At 39.0% G+C, this 19,748-nt stretch overlaps 1 protein-coding gene, 1 long non-coding RNA gene and 1 pseudogene across 2 annotated transcripts in view; all 3 read right to left on the bottom strand.

Moving 5' to 3' along the window:
• The window catches only part of HSFY1 (heat shock transcription factor Y-linked 1), a 59,321-nt gene extending 58,229 nt beyond the window's left edge, over nt 1-1,092 (bottom strand). Inside the window, exon 1 of the mRNA XM_017030085.3 lies at nt 898-1,092. Coding sequence (XP_016885574.1) covers nt 898-923 — 26 coding nt within the window. The 5' untranslated portion in view covers nt 924-1,092. The remainder of the gene's footprint in view (nt 1-897) is intronic.
• Nucleotides 1,012-1,477, bottom strand: PRYP5 (PTPN13 like Y-linked pseudogene 5; annotated as a pseudogene).
• Nucleotides 12,869-19,748, bottom strand: part of LOC124905304 (uncharacterized) — a 33,826-nt gene continuing 26,946 nt past the window's right edge. The window contains exon 9 of the long non-coding RNA XR_007068457.1: nt 12,869-15,176. This is a non-coding gene — a long non-coding RNA (uncharacterized LOC124905304). The remainder of the gene's footprint in view (nt 15,177-19,748) is intronic.

The raw sequence follows: 19,748 nt of genomic DNA, 5'->3' as shown, positions 1-19,748 counted from the left end.
CATCATCATGATAAAACTTGGTCTCTACAGCCTTTATTATTTATTGTAACCCAGTCATTCCCATCTACTGATTCCATGTTTTTAGATAATAACTTAACTCTTTCAGCCAACTGCCAAGTAAAATATATGTAAATCTACCTGTAACTTGAAAGCCCAGACCTGCACCATGGCTATTTTCAAGTTGTGCGTCCTTTCTGGACCAAACCAATGTACATCTTCATGCGTTTGATTGATGTCTCATGTCTCCCTAAAATGCATAAATGTAGGCTGTGAATACACAACCTGGAGCACATGTTCTCAGGATCTCCAGAGTAGGGCTGTGTCATGGACCATTTGTCACTCATATTTGGCTCAGAATTCAATTAATTTTATGGTATAATATCAAAGTTTGATATTGTTAGTATATCTCAGCTAATGTAGGATGTCAATCCTTATAAAACAGACATTTTCATTATCACTACCAATGCATTCTCAGTTAAACTATGACTGTCTCAGGAAAAGAAAAAATGTTGCTAACCAGGCATACATCATATATTTAAATTTAAATAATAATTCGAGTTCTAATATGCCTACTTAAAATTTTTCTATATTGTTTCAACTATATACTTTAGTTCTCTAAGAAAAATGAGTCATTAAAGCACGAAAAAAAGTATTGATAGAGCCTGTCACGGTGGCTCCACTCAGCACCTCTCCTTTCTCTGTAACAGACTCTACCCCCAGAAACAAGTCCAGATCATCTGCAAACCACACTTTGGTAGCCGTTAAAATGCGTGGTCACTGCCTCACTCAAGGGACACTTTTGTAAAGTCAGAAGTGGAGGCCAGGACTGGGAAGTAAGGCCCAGGACAGTGCCCCTCATCAGTATTGGGTGCTGCAGACAGGGTGTCTTTTCCTCACCTGGCCACCAGATGTCTCAATGCCATGTCTTCTCCTGGGAGAGTCCTGAGGAGAAGTCTTTATTCTCACCCTGGACGTAGCAACAGAGGTCTTGTAGCAACGGCCACTCCTGGGCAGGTCCAGAAGAGAAGGAGGCTTCGTCCTCATGGTGGATGCGACTCCAGATGTCCCCAAGCTGAGGCCACTGTTGGGTGGGTCCTGAAATGAAGTAGCATTAGTCTGCACCATGAACGTGGCCATAGGTTCCCCAGGTACCCTAAAACAACGGCCTCTTCTGGGTGTGTCCTGAGGAGAAGGAATCTCTGTCCAAGTCACTGTGAGAACACCCTGCCCCTCAGAGAGTTGGTTTGCAAGCTCAGTGCATCTGCCCCATGCCCCCTCCCCCGGTAGTAGCCCTGGGAAATCTTTGAAATTCAGGGTGGGTTAATCCAGGCGGTCATCTCAGGAAGTGGAAGTGAAATAGAGCCAACCTTCCCATACCTTGAATGGATATAAAAAGAAGCAAAGAAGATCGTCAATAGACAAAACTCAGTTGATTTTCTCTATATCAGCAATAATGAATAGAAATCATTGGAATTTGAAATACTTAACCACCATTTACAATACTTCCTACAAAATTGAATCCATTAAGTATAAATGTAACAAAATAGGCAAAGTTCATTCAGAAAACAATCAGTCACAACTGAGAGAAATCAAAAGAAATATTAGTAAATGCATACAGGCCAGGCACAGTGGAACATGCCTATAATCTCACCAGTTTGGGAGGTTACAGTGGGCAGATCACTTGAGTCCACGAGTTAGAGACCAGCCTGAGGAACATGGTGAAACCCCATCTCTACCAAAAATACAAAAATTAAGCTGAGCTTGGTGGTGCATGCCTGTGATCTCAGCTACTTGTGGTGCTGAAGTGGGAGAATCTCAGTGAGCGGAGATCGTGCCACTACACTCCAATCTTGGTGACACGGCAAGACTCTTTCTCAATAAATAAATAAAGGAAGAGATGTGTCTTGTTCTGGAGAAGTACACATGTATTAATATTTCAGTCATATCCCAATCAAATTCCAGGCAAATATATCAACAATCTCTTCCTAAACCTAGAATAGATGAAATAAGACTGAAGAAGAAAAAAGCTAAAGGACTTACACATATGGATATGAATACTTACACTAAAGCTAGCTTAGCAAACAAGAGTGTGGCATTGATGATTTAACAGACAAGTAGTTAAGTGGACAGAATAGACAGCCCCCACACAGGCCCAAGTCAACTGATTTTGTCAAAAATGTAAAAAAAATTTGTCAAAATTGTGACAAACATGTCAAAAAAATGTAAAAAATTTGGAAACGGTAAGTCTATTCCACAAGGGGCAAGAAAACAGCTGGAAACTATATGGAAACAAATGGACATATATACAAATTTCATAGCTAAAAAAAATAGTCAAAAATAGCCATACATTAAAATTTTTCAATGCAAAGTTGTAATTGGAAAATGTCCTCATGGGTTTGGGTTTGGTAATGAGTTATTAGCAAGTCCATGAAAAAAAAAAAAGGATAATAGTGGCTTTATTGAAAGCTGAAATGTCTACTCTGTGAAATACCCTTCTACAGTTGGGCATGGCAGTTCAAGCCTGTAATCTCAGCACTTTTGGAAGTCGAAGCGGCTGGGTCACCTGAGGTCAGGAGATCCAGATCAGCATGGTAAACATGGTGAAAACCCATCTCTACTAAAAATACAAAAAATTAACTGGAATTTCTGGCATGCACTTATAATCCCAGCTGCTCAGGAGTCTGAGCCAGGAGAATCCCTTGAACTTGGGAGATAGGTGTTGCAGTGAGCCTAGATTGGGTCATTGCACTCCAGCCTTGGCGACAGAATGAAACTCTGCCTCAAAAAAAAAAAAAAAAAAAAAAATCTGGTTAAGAGAACCAAAAAACCAGCCACAGATAGAAAAATGTAGCAAACTCACCTGAAAAGTGACTTGTATGCACAAAGTTCACAGAAACTCTAAAACTGACAAAGATAAGCAACCCAAGTCCAGGGTAAAAACCTGAGCAGATACATCACATAGAGATGGAAAACAGGCAGGCACCCCAAACACTGCTGGCTGAAAGCCTGCTGCTTCTGCTGAAGGCTGAGACTCCAACCTGTCCCATGAGTAGCCGCAGTGGCTCCAAAGACCACCCTCACCTACCCGACCTCCGCCCTTCCTTCAGGGCCCAGGGGCCCCCAAGGTACTGGACATGCTGTCCCAGAAAGAGCCAGAGGCTGGATACTTTATATCTCAGCTTTTCTTAAAGTTCTGGAGGCTGCCAAGTGTCCTTAGTTTGGAAGTTTTATTTTTATCCTAAGCACCTTGAGGCACTGACAAGCATTAGGAGAGCTGGTTTTTAACCCACACTTGTTTTCATTAAGAGATAAAAGAATTGATTGACTCGAATTGCTTTTTAGTAAGTTCTTTTAAAATGTTTGGTACAATGCATTGTTATTTTGCTTTCTTGGAGACACAAAACACAGAAAAAGTATTTAGTAAAAACCAAATAGGGAGTCATCATAAATTCATGGATACTATTTGATTTGTTATTTATCCCGACTTTTTTTATTAATTATAATTTAAGTTCTAGGATACATGTGCAGAACATGCAGATTTGTTACATAGTTGTACATGTGCCATGGTGGTTTGCTGCACCCATCAACCCATCATCTAAGTTTTAAGTCCTGAATGCATTAGGTATCTGTCCTAATGATCTCCTTCCACTTGCCCCCTACTCCCCGACAGGCCCCATTGTGTGATATTTCCCTCCCTGTGTTCCCATTGTTCAGTTCCCACTTATGAATGAGAACAGGTAGTGTTTGCTTTTCTGTTCCCGTGTTAGCTTGCTGAGAATAATGGTTTCCAGCATCATTCATGTCCCTGAAAAAGGACATGAACTTACTCTTTTTAGTGGCTGCATAGTATTCCATGGTGTATATGTGCCACATTTTCTTTATCCAGTCTATCATTGATGGGCTTTTGGGTTTGTTCCATGTCTTTCTTGTCTGTGAGTAGTGCTGTAATAAACATACATGTGCATGTTTCCTTATAGCAGAATGATTTATAATCCTCTGGGTGTATACCACATAATGTGATTCCTGGGTCAAATGGTATTTCTGGTTATAGATCCTGGAGGAATCACCACACTGTCTTCCAAAATGATTGAACTAATTTACATTCCCACCAGCAGTATACAGCATTCTTATTTCTTTACAACTTCAGTAGCATCTGTTGTTTCCTGACTTTTTAATGGTCGCCATCCTGACTGGTGTGAGATGATAGCTCATTGTGGTTTTGATTTGCATTTCTCTAACGACAAGTGACGCCGAGCTTTTTTTATGTATGTTTGTTGGCTGATTAAATGTCTTCTTTTGAGAAGTGTCTGTTCATTTGCTTTGCCCACTTTTTGATGGGGTTTGTCTGTTTTTTATTTTCTTGTAAATCTTTTTAAGTTTCTTGTAGATTTTGGATATTAGATCTTTGTCAGACGGATAGGTTGAAAAAATGTTCTCACATCCTGTATGTCCCCTGTTCACTCTGACAATATTTTCTTTTGCTGTGGAGAAGCTCTTTGATTGAAGTAGGTCCCGTTTGTCAATTTTGGATTTCGTTGCCATTGTTTTTGGTGTTTTTGTCATGAGGCCTTTGTCCATGCCTATATCCTGAATGGTATTGTCTAGGTTTTCTTCTAGGGTTTTATGGTTTTAGATTTAACGTTTAAGATTTGAATTCATCTTGAGTTAATTTTTGTATGAGCTATAAGAAAGGGATCCAGTTTCAGCTTTCTGCATATGGCTATCCAGTTTTCCCAGTACCAGGGAATCCTTCCCCCGTTGCTTGCTTTTGTTAGGCCTGTCGAAGATCAGATCATTGTAGATGTGTGAATTACTTTAAGCACTATGGTCGTTTTCACGATATTGATTCTTCTTGTCCATGAACATAATTTTTTTTCCATATTTTTGTGTCCTCTCTTATTTCCTTGAGCAGTGGTTTGTAGCTCTCCATAAAGAAGTCCTTCACATGCTTTGTAAGCTGCATTCCTAGTAATTTTATTTTCTTTGGAGCAATTGTGAATTTGAGTTCGCTCATGATTTGGCTCTCGTATGTCTACTATTGGTTTATAGAAATGCTTGTGATTTTTGCACATTGATTTTGTAGCCTGACCTTGCTGGTGTTCTTTACAAGCTTAAGAAACATATACAATAGACAAGTTCCTTGTCTATTGTTAAGGAGTACAGAGCTGAGAAAATGGGGTACTCTAAAGATACAGCTATGTCATCTGCAAACAGGGACAATTTGATTTCCTTTATTTTTATTTGAATACCCTTTATTTCTTTCTCTTGCCTGATTGTCCTGGCCAGAACCTTCAATATTATGTTGAATAGGAGTGGTGAGAGAGGCCATGCTTGTCTTGTGCCTTTTGTTTTAGGTTGTCAAAGGGAATGTTTCCAGGTTTTGCCCATTCAGTATGACATTGCCTATGGGTTTGTCACAAACAGCTCCCATTACTTTCTGATACATTCCATCAATACCCAGTTTATTGAGTGTTTTTAGCAAAAAGTGATGTTGAATTTTACCAAAGGCCTTTTCTGCATCTATAGAGATAATTATGTGGTTTTTGTCATTGGTTCTCTTTATATGCTGGATTATGTTTATTGATTTGCATATGTTGAAACTAGACTAGCAATCTAAGGACGGAGCTGACTTGATCGTATGGATAAGCTTTTTGATGTGTTGCTGGATTCAGTTTGCCATTATTTTATTGTGGATATTCACTTCAATTTTCATCAGGGATATTGGCCTGAAATTTTCTCTTTTTGTTGCGTCTCTGACAGGCTTTGGTAGTAAGATGATGCTGGCCTCATAAAATGAGTTCAGGAGGAGTCCCTCTTTCTCTATTGTTTGGAATAGTTTCAGAAGGAAATAGCACCAGCTTTTCTTTGCACATCTGGTAGAAGTCAGCTGTGAATCTCTCTGGTCTGGCAATTTTTTGTTTGGTAGGCTATTAATTACTGCCTCAATTTTAGAATTTGTTGGTCTCTTCAGGGATTCTACTTTTTTTCTGATTTAGTCTTGGAATGGTGTATGTGTCCAGGAATTAATTTATTTCTTCCAGATTTTTTAGTTTATTTGCATAGAGGTGTTTACAGTATTCTTTTATGGTAGTTTGTGTGTCTAGGGATCAGTGGTTACATCTCCATTGTCCTTTTTTTTACTGTGTCTAATTGGTTCTTCTCTCTTTTTTCTTTATTAGTCTGGCTAGCAGTCTATCTATTTTGTTAATCCTCACAGCAACAACAAAAATGTTCTTGGATTCATGGATTTTTGGAAGGATTTTCCTGTTTCTATCACCTTCAGTTACGCTCTGCACTCAGTTATTTCTTTTTTGTGTCAGGTTTTGAATTTGTTTGTTCTTGCTTCTCTAGTTCTTTTCCTTTCTTTCTTTCTTTCTTTCATTTTTTTAAGGTGTCTCATACTGTCACCCACACTGGAGTGGAGTGGTGCGACCTCAGATTACTGCGACTTTTATCTTTTGGGTTCAAGAGATTACCCAACTTCACCCTCCTGAGTATCTGGGATTAAAGTTGTGCACCATTTTGCCCGGCTACATTTTTGTAGAGACAGAGATTCACCATGCTGGTTGTCCAGGCTGGTCTTGGAGTCATGAACTCAGGCTAACTGCCTGGCTCAACTTCCCGAAGTGCTGAAATAACAGGCAGGAGCCACCATGCCCGTCTCTCTAGTTCTTTTCATTCTGACTGTAGAGTGTTGATTTAAATCTGTCCCACTTTCTGATGTGGGCATTTAGTGCTATTAATTTTCCTCTTAACACTGCTTTAGCTGTGTGCCAGAGATTCTGGTAGGTTGTGTCTTTGTTCTCACTGGTTTCAAGCAACTTCTTTCTTTCTTAACGTTGTTATCTACCCAGTTGTCATTCAGGAGCAGGTTTTACAGTTTCCATGTAGTTGTGCAGTTCTGAATGAGTTTCTTAATCCTGAGTTCTAATTTTAGTCCACCCTGGTCTGAGAGACGGTTTGTTTTGATTTCTGTTCTTTTGCTTTTGTTGAGGAGTGTTTTACTTCCAATTATGTACTCAATTTTAGAATAAGTGCTATATGGTGCTGAGAATAATGTACATTATGTTGATTTGGGGTGGAGACTTCTGTAGATATCTATTAGCTCTGCTTGGTCAAGAGCTGAGTTCAAGTCTTGAGTATTCTTGTTGATATTCTGTCTCATTTATCTGTGTAATATTGATAGTGGGGTGTTAAAGTCTCCCACTATTATTGTATGGGAGTCTAGGCTGTGTAAGTCTCTAAGAACTTGCTTTATAAATCTGGGTGCTACTGTATTAGGTTCATATATATTTAGGATCATTAGCTCTTCTTGTTTCATTGATCCCTTTACCATTATGCAACTACTCTGTCTTTTTTGATCTATGTCGGTTTACAGTTTGTCTTAGGAGAGACTAGGATTACAATCCTTTTTTTTTTTTTTAACTTTCCATTTGCTTGGAAACTATTCCTCCATCCCTTTCTTTTGAGCCTACATGTGTCTTCACTCATGAGATGGGTCTCCTGAATGTAGAATAACACAGGGTCTTTACTCTTCATCCAATTTGCCAGTCTGTGTACATTAATTGGCAAACTTAGGTCATTTACATCGAAGGTTAATATTGTTATGTGTCAATTTGGTCCTGGCATAGCAATAATAGCTGGTCATTTTGCATACTAGTTGATCCACTTTTTTCATAGTGTTGTTGGTCTTTATATTTTGACATTTTTTTCAGTGGTGAGTACAGGTTTTTTCTTTCCATATTTACTGTTTTCTGCAGGAGCTTGTCTAAGGCAGGCATGGTGATGACAAAAACCATCTACCTTTGATTGTCTGTAACAATTCTATTTTTGTTTTATTTATGAAGCTTTGTTTGCCTGAATATAAAATTCTAGGTTGAATTTTTTTTTTTCTTTAAGGATGCTGAATATTGGCCCCTACTCTCTTCTGGCTTGTGGGGTTTCTGCAGAGAGAGCCGATGTTATTCTGATGTGCTTCCCTTTGTAGGTAACCTGACCTTTCTCTCTGGCTGTCCTTAACATTTTTTATTTTTGTTCAACCTTGGAGAATCTGACAGTTATAGGTCTTCATGTTGCTCTTCTCAAGGAGTATCTTAGTGGTGTTATCTGTATTACCTGAATTTCAATGTTGGCCTGTCTTGTTAGGTTGTGGAAGTTCTACTGGATAATGCCTTGAAGTGTGTTTTCAAACTTGGTTCCATTTTCCCCATCACTTATAGGTACACCAATCAATTGTAGGTTTGGCCTTTTGACATGGTCCCATATTTCTTGGAGGCTAGTTTGTTCCTTTTTATTCGTTTTTCTCTAGTCTTGTCTTCATCCTTTATTTCATTAAGTTGATCTTCATTCTCTAATATCCTTTCTTCATCTTCATCAATTCAGCTATTGATACCTGTTTTTGCTTCACAATGTTTCTTGCGCTGTGTTTTTCATCTCCATGAGGTCATATATGTTCTCCTCTAAACTGGTTATTTTTGTTAGCAGTTCCTGTAATGACTTATCAAGGTTCTTATCTTCCTTGAATTGGGTTAGAACATGCTCCTTTAGCTCAGAGAATTTTGTTATTACCGACTTTCTCAAGTTTACTTCTGTCAATTCATCAACCTTATTCCCCATCCACTTTTGTGCCCTTGCTGCAGAGTGCTTGGAATCATTTGGAGGAGAAGAGGCATTCTAGTATTTTTGAATTTTTAGCACTTTTATGCTGGATATTCCTCATTTTTTGTGGATTTATCTACCTGGGATCTTTGATGCCGATAGTCTTTGGATTGGGTTTTGTGTGTGTGTCCTTTTTGTTGATGTTGATGTGACTGATTTCTGTTTGTTAGTTTTTCTTCTAACAGTCAGGCATCTCTTCTGCAGATCTGCTAGAGTTTGCTGGCAGTCTACTTTAGATGCTGTCTGCCTGGGTGTCACCATCTGAAGTTGCAGAACAACAGTAATTGGAAGATTTGATCCTGAGTTGTACCTAACTGGTGCCAGCCAGAGCTCTCCTGTAGAAGTATCTGTTGAGCCCTGCTGGGAGGTGTCTTCTAGTCAGGAGACACATGAGTCAGGGACACATTTGAAAAGGCAGTCTGTCCCTGAGCAGAGCTCGAGCACACTTCTGGGAGATACACTGCTCTCTTCAGAGCAGGCAGGCAAGAATGTTTAAGTCTGCTGAAGCTGCACTCCCAGCCATCCCTTTTCTCACAGTTTCTTTCCCAGAGAGATGGGACTTTTACATATAAGTCCCTGACTGGGGCTGCTGCCTTTCTTTCAGAGATTCCCTACTTAGTGAGGAGGAATCTAGAGAGCCAACCTGGCCACATCTGCTTTGCTTGCTTGTGTGAGTCCCATGCAGTCCAAACTTCTTGGCAGCTTTCTTAACACTGTGAGGGGAAATCCTTATACTCAAGTCTCAGTAATGGTGATCAACCATCTCCCCACCAAGCTTAATCATTCCAAGTTGACTTCAGACTTCTAGGTGGATAGTGAGAATTTGAAGCCAGTGCATCTCTGCTTGCTGTGCTGCATGGGAGTGAGACCTGATGAGTGAGACCACTTGGCTCCCTGGCTTTAGCCCCCTTTGCAGAGGTGTGAATGGTTCTTTGTCACTGGGGTTCCAGGTGCCACTGGGGTACATAATATTTTTTTGCAGCTATCTCAGCCTCTGCCCAAGCAGGCACCCAGTTTTGTGCTTGAAACCCAAGGCTGTGGTTGCATAGGCATACTAGGGAATCTCCTGGTCTGTGAGTTGCAAAACCTGTGAGAAATGTGCAGGATGTGGACTTCATAGCACAGCCCCTGATGGCTTTCCTTGGCTAGGGAGGAAGTCCCCAGCCCCTCACACTTCCTTGGTGAGGCAACACTCACCTGTATCTGCTGCCTTTTGTGGGCTGCACTCAATGTCTAACCAGTCCCAACGAGATGAACTGGGTACCTTAGGTGGAAATGCAGAAATTACCGGTCTTTTGTTGGTCTCTGTGGGAGCTGCCAACAAAAGCTTTTCTTTTTCAACCATCTTGCCAGATGCCCACTGGCTTTTATTCTTATTTAAAGTGTACACTCTTGAAATTACCAGAAGTTTCACTTGTGATGTTTAAAAGCAAAAAGAAAAAGAACAGGGAGAAATATTTTAATAAATTAGTCTCTGTCTTCAAATGTCAATCAAAATCAGTGCCACATTGTGAAAGGTGAAGGAAAAACTAACAGACCAAAATCATGTGATTTCACATTTTGGCTCACTTTGAAAAAGCAGATTTAAGAAGGAAAACCTCCAGAGTTCTATTCTGTATCAAATATTAAGTGTTGCAAAATATGTACTGAAATTGAAATCAATGGTTTTTTTCAGTTCCCAAAGAAACTAGTTTGTACTGTAGCAATTCCTGTTGCTGCTTTCACATCTGTGGGGGTTCAGTCAGGATGGTGGGGAAAATTATCAGATGCAAACCTTACTGGAATGACTGCGGGGTTGGCATCAGCTCCAGTAATAAACTTGGATGAAGGCAGCCTTTTCCCTTTATTTAAATATGTTAGAGTAGAAACAAAGGAATATGGGGTGTTTGTGTAACTAGCTTGCTTACTCGTGAGGTCTGAAGACTATCCTTTGACTTTCCACAGGTGCTTAATTTCTTTCTAATCAGAAGTCCACACTGTCAATTACCCCTTAGTGGTTTTGACTCAAGCCTTTGTCAATTAGTCGTTACTGAATAAATGCAAGTCTTAGTAGTTGGTCAGGGCCACAGTCAAAAATGTTTACACCACTCTGCCTGCAGTCTGTAAGCAGCCCAAATGCTCAGCTGGACTGGCAAAGCAGAGTATCTGCGTTTCAGAGTACTTTATTCACCCACCATTGAGTCAGGGTCTGTGGGACAGACCCCTGCAGACACCTGTAAAGGAATCACTTTGTTGAATGAGATCTCTACATAGTGAAGTATCACACTAATTCAGCACATTGTCTTATTAGCTACAACTTACTATCTCATTGTAGAAATCATCAATTAAAAAACAGGATCAATGCCACAATAGGTACTAGCATATTTTTTTTAATGTTTACTAAGTAGAGCTCAGACTACGATCAGTTTTCTGTGGCAAAACATATGCATGCTTCTTTTGGCAGCAATTATGGAATAATGAGAAAACAATAATAACAAAAAGCACCAGTCTGAAGATGTCATGTACTGTATGATCGCATTTCTATGACATTATGAAAAGTCTACAGCGAAGGTAAACCGACCTCTGATGTACAGTGGTTTGTAGAGGGCAGGGAGTGAGTTGAATAGGGGAATAGGATGTTGGAAAGAAGTACAAATGGGCCAGTTAGAATTAAGCTCCCTCTGGTTGGTGAGATCATGCTATGTGTTTGGAAGAGCCAGTAGTGTGTAGTACCAGCGTGAATAAAAAGGCTCCTACTCTGCCTGGCGTGGTGGCTTATGTCTGTAATCCCAGCACTTTGGGAGACTGAGGTGGGTGGATCACGAGGTTAGGAGATAGAGACCATCCTGGTTAACACGATGGAGCCCTGCCTCTACTAAAAAATACAAAAAGATTAGCCAGGCATGGTCGTGGGCACCTGTAGTCCCAGTTACTCAGGAGGCTGAGGCAGGAGAATGGCATGAACCCATGAGGTGGAATTTGCAGTGAGTGGAGACTGCGCCACTGCACTCCAGGCTGGGTGACAGAGCAAGACTCTGTCTCAAGAAAAATAAAAGGCTCCTACTCACTCTAGAAGAGAAGGATCTTCTTTCACTACACATTAAACTATTTCAGGACCAATTCTCAGGAAGCCTTTGTTGTATGGGGTAAAAGAATCATAAAATAAAATTCACCAATCTAAACATTTGTAGGTGTATAGGTAAGTGGCATTAAGTATGTTTATGTTATCGTGCAACCACCACCACCATTGCACATTCTCACCAGCAATGCACAGGGGTTCCATTTGCTCCACATATTCTCCAACTCTCCTTTTTTCCAAAATAAATAAATAAATAAATAAAAAATAAAGGCATTCTAGTGGGTATAAAGTGGTAAGCTCATTGTGGTTTAGATATTTGTTTACCTAACGGCTAATGATGTGGAACATATTTTTATGTGCTTAGTGGCATTGAATTTGACAATGGTTTCCTGGGTAGGACAGAGAATGCACAGAAAACAAAAGAAAAAAATAGATAAAATGAACTTCCTTAAAACTAAAATCTTTCATGCTTCAAAGGACACTATCAGGATAGTCAATAGAAAACCAACAGTGTAGGACAAAATATTTGCAAGCCATATATAAGAATAAATGTCTACTATCCAGGATATAGAAAGAATTCTTACAACTCAAGAACAAAAAGACAAACAATCCAATTAAAAAAATAAATTAATTAATTGAAAATACTTTTCTCCAAAGATACACAAAAAAACACATAAAAATTAGCTCAACATCACTCACCTCAGAGAAATGCAAATCAAAGCCACAATAAGACACCACTTCACACTCATTATAATTATTATTATTTAAAACCATAAACTAAAATGTGTTGACATGGAAATGGAGAATCACAAAGGTAAAATAATTCCTCTTCTGTGGAAAATAGCTTGATATTTCTGCAAAAAGCTAAACATAGAATTATCATAGAAACCAGCAAATCCACTCCCAGGTATATTCACAAAACAATGTAAAGTAGGTATTAAAAAAAAGTGTACACATATATTGATAGCAGAATTATTCACAATAACTAAAACATGGAAAAAACACAAATGTCCATCAATAAATAACAGGAAAACAAAATGTAGCATATCCTTACAATGGCATAATATTTAGCCATAAAAAGGATTGAGACATTCATACTACAATGTGAAGATACTGCAAAACCATTGTGTTTAAAGAAGCTAAGCACAAAAGTCACGTATTGTATGATTTTATTTATAAACATATCCAAAATAAATAATTTCACAGAGAAAGAAAACAGATTGTTAATTGTCAGGAGTCAGAAAGAGGACAGATTGGGTAGTAGCTCCTTAATAGGTAGGGGATTTCCTTTTGAGATGATGAAAATAATTTGGAATTAAGAAGTGGTAGAACATGCACATTCCTGTGTCACTGAATTATACCTTAAAAAACAGTTAACATATTATGGGAATTATACCTCAATAAAAAATTCCTATCTCCAGTATTCCATCAGCGGGCTGAAGTCTCTTTCCATGGTGTCCCCTGAGCTTGGGGTTCAAGTCCCTTTACAGTGCAGGACTGCTTGTGGCCTGGGCAGAAACATTCTGGACACATGCTTCAGCAACTATGTCCACCAGCTCCTAGATCTGTTACTGGTGGAAAGTATCGGAGTTACTGGCAGCAAATCCATCTGCGTCTTTAGCAATGTCAGTTCTTGCCTCCTCAGGTGAAAGAGTTCAACTGATGGGCATAAAGAAGGAAAAAAAATCCTGAGGCAAGTTTCACAGCAGGAGTGGACATTTATTAAAAAGCTTTAGAGCAGGAAAGAATGAAAAGTGCACTTGGAAGAGATCCAAGTGGGTGACTTGAAGAACAAGTGTGGCCATTTCTCTTCATTCTGGGACTTTATAGGCTGGCCCACCTTGAGCATCTGGTGCACCTTTTTCCATGATTCTTTCCTAAGTGTGGGCTGCCAGCAGGCACAGTGCCCTCCTTACCCTTGAGAAGTGAGCATAGGCAGTGTGTTTGAGCATTTATATGCATGCCCATCTGAAGCTTCCTCCCTTTTTTTGGTGGAGTGACCCCAGAAAGTCATGCTGTACCATTTCGTCTCTTAATGTGCATGTCTCAGTTCACTCACCCAGTATGTAAAATTTTACTAGAAGCCCTTTTTCCCCCTCCCGGGAGTGTGACTTTAGTTAACACTTTAATGTTACCAGCTGTGTATCAGTAGGAACTTGTCTATCCCTGGCTCTGCTGCTAAATTATTATTTTTAGAAAAGCAATGTGATAACTGTCCAACCATTACCCGATGGCCTGACATTCCTGGTAGGTGGATGGGAGAACTCTCTTCTGCCCCACTCATGCCTGTGTAACTTCCTGTAACAGACCCATTGGCCATTTCCAGCTGCAGGTCACTTTTTCTCTGCTGCCTTTCCAGACTCCCAGTGATCAGTGATGCCTCCTCAGGGTTTACAACGTCTTCTGTATCTTGCTCAACTGTAATCCAGACCTCAAGACATAATACCCATGGGTTGTTCCATTTCAATAAAGGGAAATTAACATTTCCTGAGCACCACCATGTGCAGGTGTCTTGCTCAGGTGAACTCACAGCAATGCTGCAAGGTATGGGTAGTCCCACATGTAGAGGAAAATCCCAGGATCATGTGATTGAGTGACTGACTTTCAATCACACAGCTTCCTAGTAACTTCAAGGTTATTGATTTCATTTTTAAAATAATCTGTATGTCTTTACTGGTATTTTCAGTTTTGAATCACTGTACTCCTGGGTTCCCTTAGGTCTTTGAGAATAGTAAAATGAAGTGAATTGAAATATTGGATAGTATTCAGCATATTTGGATAACAAATTCTTAACATCCACAATTCCTTAGTTTGTGGGTTGTTTACTTGTGTAGCAACCCTCCAGAGCTATTTTTGTGGTCTGCATTCTTTGTGTTGTATATCCACTTAATCTGTGTTCTGTCACCTTTTTGATGGTCTACTATTCTCGACATATTTTTTAAAAACAATCCAAGAAAAAAAAAAAGGAAAAGAAAGAAAAGAAAAACTGCCCAGACTTTGGATATGGACTCTTTGAGGAACTCTAGTGTTTAGCCCAAACTCAGGGAAAAGTGAAAAGCTTTGGGGTCTTCTCCATGCATGCATCCAAAAACCGGCATACTTATATCCTTCTAAATATACCAGTAGGAGTCTTTGTGTGGTGGTTCACATATGTAATCCCACCAATTTGGAAGGCTTAGGAGAACAAATCACTTCAGCCAGAAGTACGAGACCAGTCTTCACAACATGGTAAGATCTCTTCTGCTTAAAAAAATACAAAAATAAGCTGGTTCTGGTGGCCCATGCCTATGCTGTGAGATGCTGACAGGGGAGGATAGGTGGAGTCCAGATAGGCGAGATGCTCAGGTGGCTAAGGTGGGAAGTTCATTTGAACCCAAAGAAGTTGAGGCTGCAGTGGATCACGATCATGCCAGCGGACTCCAACGTGGGCCACAGGGCAAGTTCTGTCTCTATTTAAAACCTAATCCAAAACAAACAACAATAAACCGTGAGAGTTTTTCAAAGCTGATTTTCCGCCTCAATTTTCTTCCCAGACTCTTCTTGCAGGCCTTTTGTTTGTGTACCGCTTGACCTGACTCTTTTTCCTTGCTGCAAGTGGCTCTGACTAGTATATTTCCTTTCCATAAATGCCTCCTGGGAGTCAACTTCTGCCCACAAGAAAGCTCTGAGGTGGGCTAAAGAAAAGCCTCTGAGCTAATAATCTCCAAGGGAACCTCAGACATTTTAAATCACACAACCATAATTCTTTGAGATAAGCTCTCTATTTTCCCCATATGCATCAAAAGCTGCATCTATAATTTAATCTTCTTCACAGTGGCCATGAAGCCATGGAGTGGGTGATGATGGGAAGTTAAAATGACACATACTGTCTCGCCCAGACTTAGAGGTCAGGTCTTTCTTCATTAAACACACTCCTGAGTTATGTTATTAGATTCCAGAGCTCCAAAAGTCAAGTCTGAGGTCTTTTTCTCTTCCTTATATCTCTGCACTTTTAACCCAATGAACTCTAATGACAGCATAAAATAGAAACTTGATTAAATTTGCCTTGCTTTTTAATGTTCAGAGAGGTTTTCTGAGATGGAGTCTCCTTCTGTCCTACAGGCTAGAGTGCAGTGGTCCAAACTCAGCTCCCAGCAGCCTCTGCCTTCCAGGTTCAAGGGATTCTCTTATCTCAGCTTCCTGAGTAGCTGGAATTACAGGCATGCACCCCCACGCCTGGCTAATGTTCTTATTTTTAGTAGAAAGGGGGTTTCACCATTTTGGCCAGGCTAGTCTCAAACTCTTGACCTGAAGTCATCCACCTGCCTCAGCCTCCCAAAGTGCTGGGATTACAGGCATGAGCCATCATGTCCAGACTGTTTTGTTAGATTTTATTTCAGGCTGCTTCCATCATTATCACGAGAGCCATTCTGTCTTTCACATAATAAGAAACAGTTAAGAAATGTACGTTTTTGTTAGTAATTTTAATAGATATAACTTTATTATTTTCCAAATTATTAAGAGCTCAGTTAATTCATTTCACCACGGTATGGTAGTTGTTACAAAAAATTAAGTTCCATCTTCCACCAGTTTAATCTCACAGTCTCTAACTCAACTATTTGAGTGTAAAAATTAACTTTATAATTAGACTATGTAACGTTCAGCTCATGTATTATTATTGCATTAGTGGTGTTTTATATAATTAAATGTAAGGGTGATATTTTAGGACATTATCATATTCATCTTGCAGAATCATACCCTCCTAAGAAGACAGAGTTACACTGGGTAGTTGTAGGCATTTCACTATAGAGTTCAAAACACACTCCTCAGATTTCAATGGGAAATGAAAAGTGAAATGTTCTGACGGTTCTGGATAATATGGCCCTAACCAGTAAGGAGATGGCTTGTGTCTTCTGTGATAAAAAGAACAATAAATAATGAATTACTTGAGATTTCCCTACATGTTTGTTTCCTGTATTGTTTGAGTTTTAAATAATGAAAAATCTAAATAATAACTGTCATAATAAATTTAAGCAATAAAAACTTTTCAATACATTTTAAATATAAAATATTTATATTTAGTTATATGAATTAAATGGTCAGTGTACATTTCGTTATTCATGTGACTTCAACAGGCTCTCAAGTATAGGGAAGAGTATGCCAAGTTCCCACCTCTAAATGTCTTATAGCTAGGATGGATAGAAATGGAAGGAGTGAATAAAAAATTAACATAAGCTTATCTGCAACTCAACTGAAATCTTGTTTCATAAATAATCTATAGACGTGGTATTCAAATATTTAACACTGAAATTACAAAGTTGCATTTTTTACTATAATATTAAGCACTTATAGAGAAGTTATTATATCTCTGAATTTTAGCTTAAAATGGTGGATATAATAGTAAATAACACTGAAATAGCTCCTCACTGTATACAATAACAGTTAATAGTAAAGCAGAAAGGAAGAAGAATAGAAAGAAAAAGAAAAGAGATGTGTTTTATCCATTGAAAAGAAGAATAATTCTAGACCCTCAGTGAGAAATCAGTTGAAGTAGGAAATAAATTAAGATGTTGATACTATCATTTAGGGAACAATGAATGATGACCTCAACTGGAATGTATAAACAGCAACAAGAAAAAAAATTTGTAAGTGGTATATAATAAAAAAGTTATTGTAGATAAAATATGAAAGATATGAGGGAAAATAATATATTTGGAATACCTCAGTTTTTATGTTATACAGATGATGTATTTTTAGACAAGATAGTGATGGAAGAGAGAGGCATGTAGAAAGTGTAAAGAAGTTCAGGGGAAGTTATCAATTTAGCTATCTTAATCTTGGGGTGCTTGTAAAAAAATAAAAGCATAATGTATAGGAATCCAAAGGTCATAACACTGGTTGAATTCATTAGAACTACAAGTTTAAAACAGAAGAGGCTTTTGTCTCAAAACAACATCAATAAAAAGCCAGGTGTGGTGGTGTGCATCTGTAGTCTCAGCTACTGTGGAGACAAATGCAGGAAGATTTCTTGAGCCCAGGAATTTGAGGCTGTAGTCAGTCCAGGTCTCACTACTGCACTCCAGGCTGGGTGAACATTTTCTTAAGGAAAGAAAAGAAAAAAGGAAGGGAAAAGGGAAATGAGCAAGGGAAGGAGGAAGAGGTATTCTGTGTAGTTACCTTAGTGGTCTCATGAACAGACATCTATGAGATAAAATGAAAGACAGGGCACGTAAAGTTAAATAGAGAAATCAGAGGTAAGTTGAGTCATGTAATCCAAAGCAAAATAGTATTTCAGGAATGAGGGTGTGAATCAGTTCTGTAGATACACATGACTGCTTGAGTAATATGCAACAGACAAGTGAAATATGGGATTTAGTGACAAGTATAAGATATGATTCTAAAAAACAGGGTAAATGCCTGAAGAAAAGAGGGTTAAGAGAAATAAAATTAAACCTTGTCAGGGCAAACTCTTTCCATGAGTCTTGTTATCACGGCAAATAAACAAATGAGTTGAGAGTGCCGTATCTAGGACTAAGACTAACAGCATGTAGATCTAGTAAAGAAAATGATCAAGCCTGGTTTGGTGGCTCACACCTGTACTTCCAGCACTTTGGGAAGCTGAGGTGGTGGGTCACTCGAGGTTTGTTCAAGACCAGCCTTGGCAACACAGTGAAACCCCATCACAATTAAAAATTCAAAATTTAGCCAAGCATGGCAGTACATGCCTCTAACATCAGATACTCAGGAGGCTGAGGCAGGAGAATCACCTGAATCTGGGAGGCTAAGGTTGCAGTGAGCTGAGATTGTGCCAGAGACTCCGTCTTCAAAAAAAATTAAACTAAACTAAAATAAAAGAGTAAGGATAATGATCCTGTAGGTAGAGTGAAGAAGTAATGGTACAGAGAGATAACAAATAATAAGTAAATCAGTCTTTTAAGAAGTTCTGAAATCCAAAGGACAGGTGAAGAGAGTCATAGATAGGAGCAGAAAAATAATACACAAATCTACAGGAGCTTTATTGTTGGTGGTGATTTCTCATGAGAAAGAAACACAAAAGAAAGTGTGAATAAGAAAGTAGTCTCCATTGGTTGGTAGAAAACAAAAAAAAAAAAGGAGAAAACAACAACAAAATAATGTAAATTATATAACATTAAGCTTTAGCGTTCTTCATCCCTTCCCACTGTGATTGTTTCCCCAAGAAATAACAGAATCCAAATAGTCAAAATAGAAGAAACCTTTAGCATATATTACTGTCTATATACATTAAGCCCATTTTATTTTAATTATAATTCATTCTTTTACAATTTTTATTTTAAATTAACAAATGTAAATATTTATGGGACACAAACTGATTTTATAATGCATGTATATGTTGCAAAAGAATTAAATTGGGCTAGTTACCATATCTATCACCTCACATACTTACCATTTCTTTCTTGTGGTAAGAATATATAAATTCTACTTTTTAAACAACCTATTTGTCTGAGATAGAATTCAACCTCTGTCTCCCGAGTTGAAGTTTTTCTCTTGCTCAGCTACTCGAGTAGCTGGGATGACATACGCATGCCACCAAACCTGGCTAATTCTTGTATGTTCAGTAGAGACAGTGTTTCCTCATTTTGGCCAGGATGGTCTCGAACTCCTGACCTCTAGTGATCCTCCCACCATAGGCGTTCAAAGTGCCTGGATTTCAGACATGAGCCAACATGCCTGCCCTTTTCTTTATTAAGCAACTTTGAAGTTGACTTATTAACTGTGGTCACCATTCTGTGCAGTGGATCTCCAGAACTCCTTCCTTTCTCACTGAAATATTTTACCCTTTGATGAACATCTCCCCTTTCTCTATCCACTCCTATCACCACCCCTCACTCCAATCTCGGACTCTTTTTTTCCGTGTTTGTTTAGAGTCAGGGCCGTGCTGCATTGCCAAGGCTGGAGTACAGTGGCACAAGTATGGCTCACTGGGTCCTCAAACTTCTGACCCCAAGTGATCCAACCATCTCATCCTCCTAAGATGCTGGAGTTACAGGCATGAGCCACCATATCTGACATA

Source organism: Homo sapiens, chromosome Y (assembly GCF_000001405.40).
Source record: "Homo sapiens chromosome Y, GRCh38.p14 Primary Assembly".
NCBI classification, from domain to species: domain Eukaryota; kingdom Metazoa; phylum Chordata; class Mammalia; order Primates; family Hominidae; genus Homo; species Homo sapiens.
The sequence above is the reverse complement of the archived record's forward strand: the minus strand, read 5'-3'. Positions and strand labels throughout refer to the sequence as shown.